The 15,481-nt window shown below is 39.5% G+C and overlaps 1 protein-coding gene across 2 annotated transcripts in view; it reads right to left on the bottom strand.

Moving 5' to 3' along the window:
* MGAT4A (alpha-1,3-mannosyl-glycoprotein 4-beta-N-acetylglucosaminyltransferase A) overlaps positions 1–15,481 on the bottom strand; it is a 112,027-nt gene that overhangs the window by 13,816 nt on the left and 82,730 nt on the right. For both annotated transcript variants that reach the window (NM_012214.3, NM_001160154.2), the window contains 6 exons: positions 12,507–12,621; positions 11,002–11,132; positions 7,200–7,307; positions 6,887–7,080; positions 3,596–3,674; positions 2,301–2,367 (listed from right to left, as the gene is read on the bottom strand). In NM_012214.3, coding sequence (NP_036346.1) covers positions 2,301–2,367; positions 3,596–3,674; positions 6,887–7,080; positions 7,200–7,307; positions 11,002–11,132; positions 12,507–12,621 — 694 coding nt within the window. The remainder of the gene's footprint in view (positions 1–2,300; positions 2,368–3,595; positions 3,675–6,886; positions 7,081–7,199; positions 7,308–11,001; positions 11,133–12,506; positions 12,622–15,481) is intronic.

Raw genomic sequence — 15,481 nt, forward strand, 5'->3', positions numbered from 1 at the left:
GCTAATTTTTGTATTTTTACTAGAGATAGGGTTTCACCATGTTGGCCAGGCTAGTCTTGAACTCTTGAGCTGGTGATCTGCCTACCTTGGCCTCCCAAAGTGCTGAGATTACAGGCATGAGCCACTGCGCCCAGCCAAGCCTTGGTTTTCTTGGCTGGCTTCTGCTACTGACTGGACTGGGGCAGTGAGCTAGGACATCGGTGATCAGGGCCAAGTATTCTCACCCTGCTGTGCCTAGGGCAGAGTTCTGCCCAGATTCATCAGCTGCTCTTGTCTGGAACAGAGCTTCTGCAACAGAGTTGGGGGTAAGGACAGATGCTGGCAGCCTGACCCTCCTGGGCAGATGCCACAGCCCTAGACTAGAAGCTGGCAGGAGAGTCCAGTGTTCCTGGCTGTACCTGCACAGGGCAGAGCTTCTGTCTCCCCGAGCTGGGGGTACTGTGAGTGATAAGGCTGGTCCTGGCTCCCTCCCCGAGATCTGGGAGATTCTCATGAATAAATGTTGCTCCATTTGCTGCTAGCCCTTAGGACAATCTTCACAGATTTAAAATAGTTTTTTAAAAATAATTTTCACCAGTTATAATTGTTTTGCTAACGAGAGGGTCAAGGAAGCTCCTCATACACAATTCCATTAAAGAAGACTTCTTAAGGAAGCAGAATGTTCTACATTCAGTTGAAAAAAGATCAGTTGCTCTTTAGTTCTGTTCTGTTTGATTACACAAGGTCCTAGGCTGATGATGCAGAAGTTCACTTCTCATTCTAAGAACATATGAGTTGATATTTTAGATGGTCATTTTCTTCAATTACTATAGAGATATTTAATATAGATGTCTCTATTTCCTATGCTACTTTCATAATCTAGAACATACCATTTTCAGAAATTTAATAAGTGACAGGTAATGGGGTAATAAATGTCTCAGATACTCAGCTGATTTTGTGTATATTTCTAGAGATGGGCTAAGATACAGCCCAAATATAAAAATCATTCATCCACCAAAACTATAAAGAAAGTAGCCAGGGTTATTGTGCAAGCCTCTTAGCAATGGCTGAATGATACTTACCAAAGGTAAAACTGTTCTAGAAAGGGCTTAAAAATGTATTTATCCTATAGACCTACAATATCAATTTACCAATATTTGCTCTTGTCTAATACTAAGAGAAGCATTCATTTGTTTTAAACAAAAGAAAATGTACAGTTAGTTATTGAGTCAGTGTCTACCAAGTGACAGGCCCTGTGTTAACTACAGGACATACAGGAGAGACACGGCCCCTCCCTCTCCAGGGGAGCACACAGAACGGAGCTATGGAACAACACAACCACACAGCAAAGGCACATACGGGGGGATCTGAAGAGCAGGGAAGCGAGGCCATTAAATGGGCAGATTAAGGGTGCAAAAGCATTTATTAGAAGGAAAAATAATTGACCAATCATTTCAGGCAGAGAAAATGGCTAGAGATGTGGCTGCCCGGAGAGTGTGGGGCCTTCATCAGAGGAACAACAGTCTCAGGGCTGGAGAGAAAGAATGAGAGAAAGTCACAGATGTGAAGGTGGGTGGGAGCTAAGGGATCAGATAACAAAAAGGCCTCAGGGTTCTAGTTACATTTCAGAAAAGTAACTGCAGTGGCTCTAGAAAGCCACAGGAAAGCCACAGCGAGATGCAGTCCCTCCCCTGGCTCTGAATTGGAGGCACAGAGCAGCCTGCCCCTCACAGACAGGGTGACTCAAGACTTTCAGATGAAAAACCGACAGATTTGTGCTAATGGACAGCAAGAAGAGGGCAGTCTTCAGGGTGCCTCCCAGGTTAGGCTTAGGCAACTAGATGGATAGGGACAGCAAAAACTGGCGATCAATAAAGAAATGTGTGTGTTACAGACGCTTGTGGTAGACGGCTATGTGGCTGCCAGGTATAAGGCTATGTCAGTGGACATCTCAACACAGATGTGACGCTGGGGAGGAGGGAAGGGGCCCGAAGCACAGATTCTGGCCTGTCAATGTGAGCTGAGGCTGGAGAGGAGCTAAACCCATCCAGTAGGAGGCAGTGCAGGCAGACTCTCTATCAGGGAGCATCAACAAGAGCATGACACACAGCACGGAAGGAGCGAGAAAGACAGCCCAATCTGTGATATGAAATCCTACTTGGGTCAAATAATAAAAGCAAGTACTACAACACAGCACACATAAAACCTGGAGGACACTGGTAATTGTAATCCTCAAGTTGCTTAACATCTGAAAAGAACTGAAAAGTACTTTAGGAGTAAGTCCAGAAAAATAAAGGCCATTTTACTAAAGTAGATATTACCTATTCTGAAATAGCCATCTTCTAATCGTTTGTCTTTGGTTTCTTTGCTTATTTCCAAACCTTCACTCTAAAATAAAACAAAAGCATTAATTTCAAAAATAATTCTTTCTATTTAACCTAAGTTATTAATATATCTTAATATAGATGAAGTGGCATTTGTAACACAGCTATCCCTAAAAAGAGAAATATCATCTCAGTCTTGAACTTTAAAAAACTTATTAGATTAATAATAAAAGATGTTTTCTTAAGCCATCGTTTGAATCTGTATATAATATATTGGTGGTTGGAAATGAAACATTAAATCAATTAAACAGAACAGTATTTTCTATTAAAACTATAGAAGAACTGTGTAGTTAACTTGAAAGAAATCTAAGGATTCCTTAGAGACCAATAAATTAAATTGTGTATTAATTAACAGGCATTAAAAACACATAGAATTTGGACTCAAAATACAAACAGCAAGTAAACACTAAAGAAAACAATGATTCAGGCCAGGCACAGTGGCTCATGCCTGTAATCTCAGCACTTTGGGAGGCCGAGGCGGGTGGATCACGAGGTCAGGAGATCAAGACCATCCTGGCCAGTGCTGAAACCCAGTCTCTACTAAAATACAAAAATTAGCTGGGCATAGTGCCACGCACCTATACTCCCAGCTACTCGGGAGGCTGAGGCAGGAGAATCACTTGAACCTGGGAGGCAGAGGTTGCAGTGAGCCAAGATCGCACCACTGCACTCCAGCCAGTGACAGAGCGAGACTCTGTCTCAAAAAAATAAAATAAAATAAAATAAAATAAAATAAAATAAAATACGATTCATTTCTTTTTCTAGTAGAAACGTTCATATTATTTGCAACCTCCACCTCCCAGGTTCAAGTGATTCTCGTGCCTCAGCCTCCCGAGTAGCTGGGATTACAGGCGCATGCCACGATTCCTGGCTAATTTTTGTATTTTTAGTAGAGATGGGGTTTTGTCATGTTGGCCAGACTGGTTTTGAACTCCTGACCTCAAATGATCCACCCATCTCAGCCTCCCAAAGTGCTGGGATTACAGACGTGAGCCACCGGGTGTGGCCTGTTACTTTCCAAGATAAAACAAAATGAAGGCTCTTTCTATGAATGGGTCAAATGCACTCGTCAAATATAAAAGTGCTTCATATTTCAAAAAAAATTAATATTATTCACCATTGAGTCCTGCAAATCATGAGAATTTTCTTTCCCCTTAAAAACAAGAAAAGCTTCAAGCTAAGTCTACTAGTATTAGTTGTTAGGGAAAGGTAAGAGGAAATAGCAGTCATACCTTAAAAGGCAAAACTTCCACAGTTGTGTTTAGCAGAATATCTCCAGGATGTTCTTGGTTGCCGCTATGGAACAAATAACTGAAAATACAAACATCAAAATAAAAACACAAGTCGGGCTAGATTTTACAAAGATTCAAGAAAATGACCTTACCTCAGAGTCAGCTTTTCTACACAAGACTCTAAGCAAGCAAAGTTGACAACGCTAGAGCTTCTAATAACTGCACAGTATGTGTTCTGAATGGTTGTAGGGAACTTAGAAACTTAAGAGCATGACTCCTAGGTGATAAGTTCATTCCTTCTGTCAGAAACAATTATGTTTGCTGCTTAACATAATAATGTACCTAGATATTTTCAAAAAGGATGAGTTTTATGTCACTGTCTATAATGCTTTAAATATTTAACCCTCTTCCCAGAAAATTATAACACCTATATAATACTGCTGTATCTTATATCAGAAAAAAACTTCACTAGGACAACCAGTAGTCATGGCATGTCCAAAGACCAGTTCTAGGCTGGGCGTGGTGGCTCACACCTGTACTCCCAGCACTTTGGGAGGCCGAGGTAGGAGGATCACTTGAGGTCAGGGGTTCAAGACCAGCCTGGGCAACACAGTGAGACCTCGTCGCTACAAAAAAATTAAAAAATTAGCCAGGCATGGTGGTATGTACCTGTAGTCCCAGCTACTCAGGAAGCTAAGGTGAGAGGATTGCTTGAGTTTAGCCTGGAAGGTCTCATCTACAGTGAGCCGTGACTGTGCCACTGCACTCCAGCCTGGGTAACACAGCAAGAACTCATCTCTAAATAATAATAATAATAATAGTAATAAATAATAATAATAAAAGAAACAAAGACTAGTTCTATCCAATACAAATAACTTTAATATTAGTAGACTAAAAGTAAATTAACCTCTTAAAATATCTGAATATCAATATTAAAAAAGCATTTGAAGAATGACTAATTATCGATATATGGTGACAGATCTAAAATACTTTCTGGGTGTGAGTATAATACTCTGTTTTTGATACTCTGAAAACAAACTAGTAAGTATGCGTATGCGTTCTCAGGGTGTGGGGAAGGGAGGAAACTAGGTCAGACATGCAAAGTATGTCTGAATCTAAACCTAACTCTAGTTCAGTTGCATGGTTAAAAGTTTAGGCTTAGGAGTCAGAAAGACCTGGGTCCAAATCCTGGGTCTCTCAGTTACTAGAATTGTCACCTTTCACGAGTTTCCTCAGCTTTCTGAGCCTGAGTTTCTTCTATAATGCAGACAGTCCCATCTACCTCAGAGGACTGCTCCAATCAGTTCAGGAGAACTGACAAAAAGTCCCCCGCACATTCAAAATGCTCAGCCAGTCACAGTATGGTTACGATACAGTTACAGCGGTGGGCCAGTAGATATGGCTGTAAAAGGTTACGTGGGAATTCTTGGGGTGATAGAAACGGTCCTTATCTTGATATACTGTGTCAAAACCACAGTCTGCAAGATGCTCCCCTTGGGCAAGTGGGGTGATGGGTACACAGGATGTCTCAGTTTTACTTCCTACAGCTGCGTGTGAATCTATACTTTCTCAAAAGTCAAAGACTAAGAAAAAGAAATTGATTGTTGAGGGAAAAAGCACACAAAATAAATGTATCAAGTCAAGTGAAACTGTCCCTGTTATCTCACCTCTATTAACAGTTTAATAGATTTTTTGCAGATTTGTTCTATGTACATAATATATGTAAAACATTGTTTTTATTTTTCAAAAAATCCTTCTATAATCTATAATTCTATACTCTCTATATAGAATGCTATATATTCTAGAATCCTATACACATATAATGCCATAATCTATAAAATGATCTATAAGGATATTCTATAAAGTTATAAAATTTGCTTTTCACCCCACTTAGTATATATCTAAGAAAGTTTTCATGTCAATACATACTAATCTACGTCAATATTTTTGATGACTGCTTACAGCATTCCACTGCGTGGCAATATCATTTTATTTAACCAAACACATACTAATGGACATCTATGCTGTTTCTAATTCTATGCTGGCTCTCTGAGTGGTAAACAATATCTCAAAGTGCAGAGTATTACTAATAGTATAAAAATGAACTTTAACAGCAAAACAAATAAATGCTCATGCAAGTGCAAAATATTATTCAAAACTATTTCTGTATGTTCTTCCAGTGGTATTCCCAATGCTTAAAACACTTTTAAAACTTGAATTCCTCTTTGGAATCAGTTTAGAGTAACAAAAGAAAATTAGTAACATTGTATCACAGCTCTAAATTGTTTCTGACCACCTCAAATAGAATTACTGAAAATGATTTCTGGTGGATTCTAAAAATCAAATTGGCCCTCCCATTGGGACACATAAAAGGAAACACCACAGAGTGGGGAACTATGTTCCTTTAAGTATGCCACTGCCAATCTGGGGAACACACCCAAACCTGAAGAAGGACTGAAGGAATCACGACTATTAAATTAAAAACAGGCCAGGCACAATGGCTCACGCCTATAATCCCAGTACTTTGGGAGGCAGACATGGGTGGATCACCTGAGGTCAGGAGTTTGAGACCAGCCTGGCCAACATGGTGAAACCCTGTCTCTACTAAAAATACAAAAAAATTAGCCAGGTGTGGTGTCAGGTACCTGTAATCCCAGCTACTTCGGAGGCTGAGGCAGGAGAATCTTTTGAACCAAGGAGGTGGAGGTTGCAATGAGCTACATTGCACCATTGCACTCCAGTCTGGGCGACAGAGCGAGACTGTCTCAAAAAAAAAAAAGGAAGAAAGTCCTAAATTTTGTAAAATGAACATAAATGCTCAAAAACATAAAATGGCTGTAAATTTCTCCCTGGTGTACCGAAAATAACCTAGCATTTGTAAAACTATTGACTAAGAATAGTCATACTCTGTCAAATTTATCATTTCAACCAAATTGCTGGGCTAATCAACTAGCTCCAGATCAATTTTCAAGGGACATACCAGGATAAAGACATAAACACTAATTTGAGATTTTCGAGAGTTCCGCAAAAAAGTATTAAAAAATTATACTAGATATACTAAGTCCAGAAATACCAATGAAGTTCACCAAACGTGTTAAATGTTGACATTACATCTGAAAACAACATACTCGTTTTATTATGGAGTTGTTTTACATGTAATTTAAAGCCCAACATTTTGGGCCCCACTGTGTCCCCACATCTGTCAGGCACACACACAAAAATCTATTATAAATCACATTACGAATAAGAGATCCAAATTGTAAGATCACATACATTTCAATAATCACCAACCTTTCTACATTGACTGGTTTATCAAATTTAAACAAGATGTAGTCTCCAGCTATCGGTGTGATAGCCCAGAAGAAATCCTCTCCCATGTAAGTTTTCTCCAGCGTATGCCCTTGGTAGACCTTCAAGGAAGTAGATACCTCCGCAGGTGGGTTTACATGGATTTTAAGAAGTAATGGTTTCATATAATCTTTATCCTGGGAGCAAAGACATATATGCTATTAAATAATACACAGCTTATTTAAGAAGAAAAACAATAATTATAACTTAAATAACAAGTTGTATGTTCATGAGAAAATAAAATTAAGTCACCAACCGTGAGTTTTTGGATTTTTCCTGATAGTGATGAGTGCAGACCAACATGTTGGAAAAGGGAAGGTCTGAAGCGAATTCGCAGATTTGCTTTCTGTCTATCACAATGTTTCTAAATATTAAAAAAAATCACGTTAGTGTTGCATCATAAAGTGAAATCTTGCCCTCACCTGGAAAATGAGAAGTCCTTTATTAAAATATTGAAAAGAAGGGCTGGGCGCGGTGGGTCATGCCTATAATCCCAGCATGTTGAAAGGCCAAGGCAGGTGGATCACCTGAGGTCAGGAGTTTGAGACCAGTCTGGCCAACATGGTGAAACCCCATCTCTACTAAAAACACAAAAATCAGCCAGGTGTGCAAGCCTATAATCCCAGCTACTCGGAAGGCTGAAGCAGGAGAATCGCTTGAACCCAGGAGGCAGAGGTTGCAGTGAGCCGAGATCGCACCACTGCACTCCAGCCTGGGTGACAGAGTAAAACTCTGTCACAAAAACAAACAAACAAACAAAACAACAACAACAAAATTGAAAAGAAAACAACTTCAAGTCATAATTACAAATCATATTTTTTTCTAGTCTTTGAGGCACTAATAGATTTGCTACTTCCTTGATAAATAGTCATGATCCAGAAATTTAAAATAAGCATAGTTAAGGGAAGAGTGAAGGATTTAATTTCAACCATCCTTCAACACATGTCAACAAAGATTTGACTTTTAATATTAAAATGAATAAACTATAGACTAGGGGGTTAGTTCAAATATACAAAATATTTTTTATTTAATAATATAATGAATTTGCAAATTATAAATGGCGCATTTTGTTGCATGAAAGCAACTTGAAAATGTGAGGCAATCATTTGCCTAGAAGCAAGTAAATGATATTAAAAATTCCACAGACAATCTCTGTCAACACAGGAAGGGACACCTATGTTTCAACTCGTAGTGCCCCACGGTCCAGACGTTCCATCTCAACCTGTCCTCATGCATGGGCCTGGCGTGTGAAGGCTGTGCAACACCGAGGGCCACCTTGACAAATATTTATTTAGACTTTTCATTTTCAATAACTTACAAAAGTTTGGGGCCAAAAAAAATCAAAAAACACATCTTTGTAAGAAATTTACACTTGACTGGGCACGGTGGCTCACGCCTGCAATACCAGCACTTTGGGAGGCCAAGGTAGATGGATCACCTGAGGTCAGGAGTTTCAGACCAGCCTGGCCAACGTGGTGAAACCCTGTCTCTACTAAAAATACAAAAATTGGCCAGGCGCAGTGGCTCACGCCTGTAATCCCAGCACTTTGGGAGGCCGAGGTGGGCGGATCACGAGGTCAGGAAATCGAGACCATCCTGGCTAACACGGTGAAACCCCATCTCTACTAAAAATACAAAAAAAAAAAAAAAAAAAAAAATTAGCCGGGCGTGGTGGCGGGCGCCTGCCTGTAGTCCCAGCTATGCAGGAGGCTGAGGCAGGAGAATGGCGTGAACACGGGAGGCGGAGCTTGCAGTGAGCCGAGATCGCGCCACTGCACTCCAGCCTAGGCCACGGAGCGAGACTCCGTCTCACAAAAGAAAAAAAAGAAAAAAAAATACAAAAATTAGCAGCCGGCTTGGTGGCTCACGTCTGTAATCCTAGCACTTTGGGAGGCTGAGGTTGGGGGATCATGAGGTCACGAGATTGAGACCATTCTGGCCAACACGGTGAAACCTGGTCTCTACTAAAAATATAAAAATTTGCCAGGCGTGGTGGCCCGTGCCTGTAGTCCCAGCTACTCAGGAGGCTGAGAGGCAGGAGAATCGCTTGAACCTGGGGGGCAGAGGCTACAGTGGGCTGAGACTGCGCCATTGCACTCCAGTCTGGGTGACAAGAGCAAAACTCTGTCTCAAAAAAAAAAAAAAAAGAAATTTACACTGTAGAAGACTTCTAATAATATACTGGGTGCTAAAATGCCTACTTCTCAAGAGGTTTCACTTCACTGGCATTATTACTGACACTACAATAAAGGTGAAATAGTGTATTTTCTTTGCACAAATACTCAAGTGGAAGGAGAAAGAAAGGGAGGAAGAGTCAAAGGGAAGGGCAAAGGGCAAGAGAGAGAGAAGACTGGGGAGCGCAAGGTTGAGGAGAGAGCAAAACCACCGAGGCAGTGTCTGGAACTCAGCCTGTCACTCCAGTGGCAATGGAAGGACTCTGGCCGAAGGGCCCAAGCACGCTGATAACCCTTTGGGACAATGTATAAATGATTCGAAGGGTTTCCCAGGCCACTGTCAAGGATGTGGCGACAGCACCCTCGAGATTCTAGGGGAAGCAACTGAAGAATTAGAGGCCACACAAAAACATGGACTACAGAAGAGTGAAGGAATGGATGAAATCGTCCAAAAGTTCATGTACCCAAATTTATGGAGGATTTAGAGGGTTTTTGTGGTTTTAATTTCTACTATAGATGTTTTCACCTCACAGGCTCATTTTAGAACCTAACCACATATTAAATAAAATTGCACAGGACGAATGGAATGCAAGTGTATTGTAGGAGGTTAAAGATGACGTTAACTTTTTCTGTGTCCTACAATAAAAATTTCTATAAGTCACAGTGAAAATGTGCATAAGGACTGAGATCTCTAAAAAATGATTTGTTTAAAACAATTTATATGTTCAACTAATTGTCGGAAAACAGATACTCTGCCATTGCTAGATTCCATGATTTCCTCTAACTAAGAATGTGTTGGGGTTTTTTAAAATTTTTGTGGTTTTTTTTAAACAGAATGCAATGATAGCCTACAGACACCAGAAGGTAGTATCCTAAAACCTAGCAGGTATGAGGATCCAACTATTCTAGGGAGTAGAAGGTCATGAAGTCAAACTAATGCTTATTTGTTACAATGAATGGTAAGTCAACTCTATAATGACATGTTCTTACAGTAATACTTATCATTACACATCAAAATGGACATTTTAAAGAATTTGTACTTTTACATATTGTTTATGCTTACATCAAATAAATTAAAAGCTATAGTTTTTTTTCAGAGACACAATTCAAATTGGACAAGGAAAACATACCTAATTACTCTTTTTAAAAAAAAATCATTGTTTTTTTGTAGAGATGGGTCTTGATATGTTGCCCAGGCTTGTCCTGAACTTCTGGGCTCAAGTGATCCTCCAGTCTTGGGCTCCCAAGGTGCTGGGATTACAGGCGTGAACCACTGTACCTGGCCTAATTACTCTTAACAATAAGATCTCTATGGTAATAACATGCTATCTGAATGATCAAAGCAAAAATTATTATTCACTTACTTGACTGCAACTATTATCCCAAAGGTAATCATATTATTATGAACACTGGCTTTTTGTAACACGCTGAAAGGTACTTTAACGTCTCATTGTTTTGGTATAAAATATTACTTCTATTTTATTCCTCATTTACAGATGTGTTAGGGTCTAATATCGTCCCCAGTATACAAGGAAAAAGAGAGTGAACAGGAAATATGAAGAAAACAAACTGAAATGGTATCCCATGCCAAGAACAGATATGACCAACATCTACATCCAATGTTAGTAAACCACCAGGGCTTACAAACACTAGAAACATTTATCAGCAATTTAAAGAATGTACGTCATCTTGTAACAGCTTCCTGCTTTACAGGATCTTCCACTGCTATCTAAAAGTTCTTCTAATATAGAAACTTTTTATCAGCTCAGGAAAGAAGTTTTATATCACCTACCTATTTAACTATTTATTTGCAAAATCTCTAAAAGTCACTTTCACGAAATACAGAAGTGAAACTCCCTCCACTCTGGTGAGGAATTAACTTACTGCATCTTTTTCAGGGTTGCAGACTTTCACCCAGAGAATATGGTCCAGGAGCCAATCAATGGGTTTCTCCTTGTAAAACATGAATATGAATTCTACAATCAGAGTAAGATCCGGCGCTTGAAACATTTTACCTGAAAAGATATTCCCAGTCAATAGCTGCAATGAAGAAACCAAGCACCAAAATGGCTTACATTCATGAAATCTTGCCCACGACATACACTGAGGCTTGCGCTTTCAACTATAAATCATCATAAACAATTTCCCCACTTGTATTATCAAAATTAAACAAAGTTGCTTCGGCTAAACTTTCTCTTGAGCTGTCACCTGGGTGTAAACAGATATAGTAAATTCCCGATGTTACTATAATAATCTATCGTATACCTACTGGCCCAAAGCATTCAAAAAGCAAGTCAGAGATTTTCCCTTCGTGTCTTACTAAGATTCTTCCCATTTAACATTGAGAGGTTTAGGTAAAAAATTTTATCTGAATCAATAAATGCAAAAAATAAGGACTCCTAATTTTGTTTTCACTAAAGCATTTGCAAGTAAAGATGGTTTTTGACTTTTAAGTTTTGAGTTAAATGATCAAGATTGTCAAAGGTCCAGCCTCTAAATGCTTAAAGTGTTAAAAAGTACCATAGGAGATGAAATGTTAACCTCTCAATATTATTTGAACCCTGTAAATTTCCTTCAATTCTTCAACTTTAAACATACTCTTTTTTTTTTTTTAGATTGAGTCTCACTCTCGTCCCCAAGGCTGGAATGCAGGGGCGCGATCTCAGCTCACTACAACCTCCACCTCCCCCGTTCAAGCAATTATCTTGCCTCAGCCTCCCGGGGAGCTAGGATTACAGGCGTCTGCCACCATGCCAGGCTAATTTTTGTATTTTTAGTAGAGACAGGGTTTCACCATGTTGGCCAGACTGGTCTTGAACTTCTGAGCTCAGGTGATCCACCCGCCTCGGCCTCCCAAAGTGCTGGGATTACAGGCGTGAGCCACTGCGCCTGGCTAACTTTAAACATATTCTTAAGCTGGCTAATTTTGAAACATCAGCCAAAAACCATTTAGAAATGAGTGCCCCAACTAGTTAAGAGAAAAACGAATAAAAATTAATCACTGAATTAGGACTTCATGCATTGCATGAAAATACTAGGAATTTATATGAGAAAACTCTTTGTGGTATTGTTTTTAAAAGAACTGCAATCTTATGTTAACAAAGGAGCTGGAAATGCCAGAGAAGAAAAAATCAAACATGCTCACCAGCACCACGGTTGGCATTGTGAAGAACGCTACAGTAAATACAATAATCTTAGAAGTCTCCAAATTCTATTCTGGGTTGACTTTCATCATGTCATACAAAGAGGTTTACCTAACTTAAGTTTTCTCTAAAACAACCCATTTCCATAGGAAAAAAAGACATCTTTAGGACAAGTAGCTACTTGGTTTTAGATTCTGAGAGTCACAGTTATTTATGAAAAGTAGGTAAGTGTGACACTTTTCTTACCAATGAAGCCCAGCTGGGAAAACTCTAGAATCATCCATTCCTCAGAAGAAAGTTGAAGTGCAAAATTTTTTATGGTATTAAAATAATTTTGTTTGACAATAATATCATCTTCAAGCTAGAGAAAATTGAACAATCATATTAATACATCAAAAAAAGAAAGGTATTGAGAGAAGGATATTATTATGGAAAAATACAAGCATACCTTTATCATGAAAATGAAGAAGACAATGGTAAAAACAATAAAAATATAAAGCTAGATATTATTAAAAGAAAGTGAAGAAAACAAAATGGAAGAAATACATCGTAAGTCAACTAAGCCACTCCTTTCTATGGGAAATAACAATGAGGAAAATGAGGACATCCTTTCCAAGTAAGACAGCTGGAATGATGCTGACATGTGAGTGGATGGGGCAGAGAGAGCACAAGATAAAGGTCTTATCACAGCAGAAGTTATGGGGAGGGAGGGGGAAAAAGAGAAGGAGGATATCAGGATACATTCTATGGGGTAGAAAGCACAAAGAAAGTTTAAACTGAATTTAGTAGTCTTACTGTTAGTAGTGATAATGGTATTGATATTGTGAAGCTATTTTACGTATATTACAGAATAAAAAATTATATTATTAGGATATTATTGAAAACCAAGGCTTTCAATATAAAAGAAAATAAATACACGTAAAAATTTGAAAAGCTAAGTAAAAGTCCTATAATTTTATTATAACCCTAAAATCTTACATCTTAATCCAGTTTGAATTGGAACTATCAATACAAACGTGTGATTTTTTTTTCCTCTGTAAAATAAAATACACTTTTTCTTGCTGAAAGTCCTAGAAGCAAAAACAAGACAATAGCAATGAGCACCTTTAAGCGCCCAGATTGTGCTTCTATATACCACACACCCTGAAGAGGAATAGCACTCCTCAATGATCGATTCCAGATCTGGGATAGGAAATGCGCAAGATGTGCCAATCATCAAAGAAACAATCACAATTACTGAGGCCAGGCACAGTGGCTCACGCCTGTAATCCCAGCACTTCGGGGGGCCCAAGCAGGTAGATGGCTTGAGTTGCCCAGGAGTTCAAGATGAGCCTAGGCAACAGAGCAAGACCTCATCTCTACAAAAAATTAAAAAATTAGCCAGGCATGGGGGTGGGTACCTGTAATACTAGCTACTTGGAAGGCTAAGGCAGGAGGATCACTTGAGCCCCCAAAAAGATTGCTGGACTTATATAGAAAGGATACAAAAGCCAATTTGAAGGGGTTCCCACTGGATTATGATGTACCAATGAAAGCATCAATAAGAATAATGATTGCAATGGACTGTGGCAAATCAAATGTATTTTAAATATCCATCACTTCATAACGATACATTGTTTTTAAGGGGATGCATGTGCAGGTCTGTTACATGGATAGATTGCATAATGCTGGGGTTTGGGCTTCTATTGAGCCCACCATCCAAATGGTGAACATAGTACCCAATAGGTAACATAATGATACTTTAAAAACAGCCACAACTGTAGATTGCTAAGGCACCAACTTTAAAAATTAGTAAGAGCATGAAATCAAGCATTTACTCCAGCCTTTCTTTAAGAACTGTTTTTCAAGGTAATCTAATAAAGGAAGAAAAATTCTTTATAGAAGAACTCAACATAGCATTTAGAACTAAGCTAAGAGCATTAGCAATTACAGAATTAGGAAAGCACCACTTGGAAACCGCTAATGAAATAAGTGATCTAGGGAAAAATAATCAATGGATGCTGAAACCTTAAGTGGAACAGCTGCTGGAGAGCTAAATTTATAATGCAGCAATGAGGCAGGCATATGGAACCCACTGATTACTCTCAGCCTCGCTGGAGGTGGGACTGCCTGATGTAATGTGCTCTTTTTTTATTTTTATTTTTTATTTTTGAGATGGAGTTTCCCTCTGTCGCCCACACTGGAGTGCAGTGGTACAATCTCGGCTCACTGTAACCTCTGCCTCTTGGGTTCAAGTGATTCTCCTGCCTCAGCCTCCCCAAGTAGCTGAGACTACAGGCACACGCCACCACGCCTAGCTAATTTTTTTTGTATTTTTAGTAGAGATGAGGTTTCACCATGTTGGCCAGGCTGGTCTCGAACCCTTGACCTCAGGTGATCCACCCGCCTCGGCCTCTCAAAGTGTTGGGATTACAGGCGTGAGCCACTGCGCCCGGCCCATAACGCGCTTTCTTATGCGCTACCGTAAGACTTACTCAAGCACCACCTGTGAAGTGCCTGCATCATCTATCAGTTTTCCAGAAGGCACCGTGTTCAACTCAGAGTTTTTTGCAATAAAGCACTTTATGAAACCGTATGATGCTGTCAGTGGAAACTCCATTCCAAGCCACAGCATCTCCCTTTCCCCTGAGGGGTATGTCTATGACAATCACAAAGTAACCCCTGACTCTACTGCCTTTTGGAAAGCATTCTTTAAGAGTCATGGATGTGATACATTCCCAAACCATGCAAACCTGGAGTCATATCCCAAGGGGATAATTATGACGTCTGGAATAAATTCCTTTGCCACATCACCTCTCATCTTAGTCTTCAACAAAATGTCACAGGTAAAATCTAACCTGTATGAACATTTAAAACTACCATTAACTGAGAACTTTTTAGGCTAATATGTTTTTCCCACTAATACTCTGTAGATGACAATGAACTCACTGAGAGAATTCCACATAATAAGCGTATGTGAAGACTTGAATATAAAGCAACTCCCTCTTTCCTGAGGCATAATTTTTGGGCAAATGTGATTATTTTAAGAATGTTCAGGCTGGGTGTGGTGGCTCACACCTGTAATCCCAGCACTTTGTGAGGCTGAGACAGGTGGATCACTTGAGGTCAGGAGTTTGAAACCAGCCTGGCCAACATGGTGAAACCCTGTCTCCACTAAAAATACAAAAAATTAGCCAGGCCTGGTGCCAAGTGCCTGTAATCCCACCTACTTGGGAGGCTGA

This window comes from Homo sapiens, chromosome 2 (genome assembly GCF_000001405.40).
Source record: "Homo sapiens chromosome 2, GRCh38.p14 Primary Assembly".
Classification (NCBI taxonomy): Eukaryota; Metazoa; Chordata; class Mammalia; order Primates; family Hominidae; genus Homo; species Homo sapiens.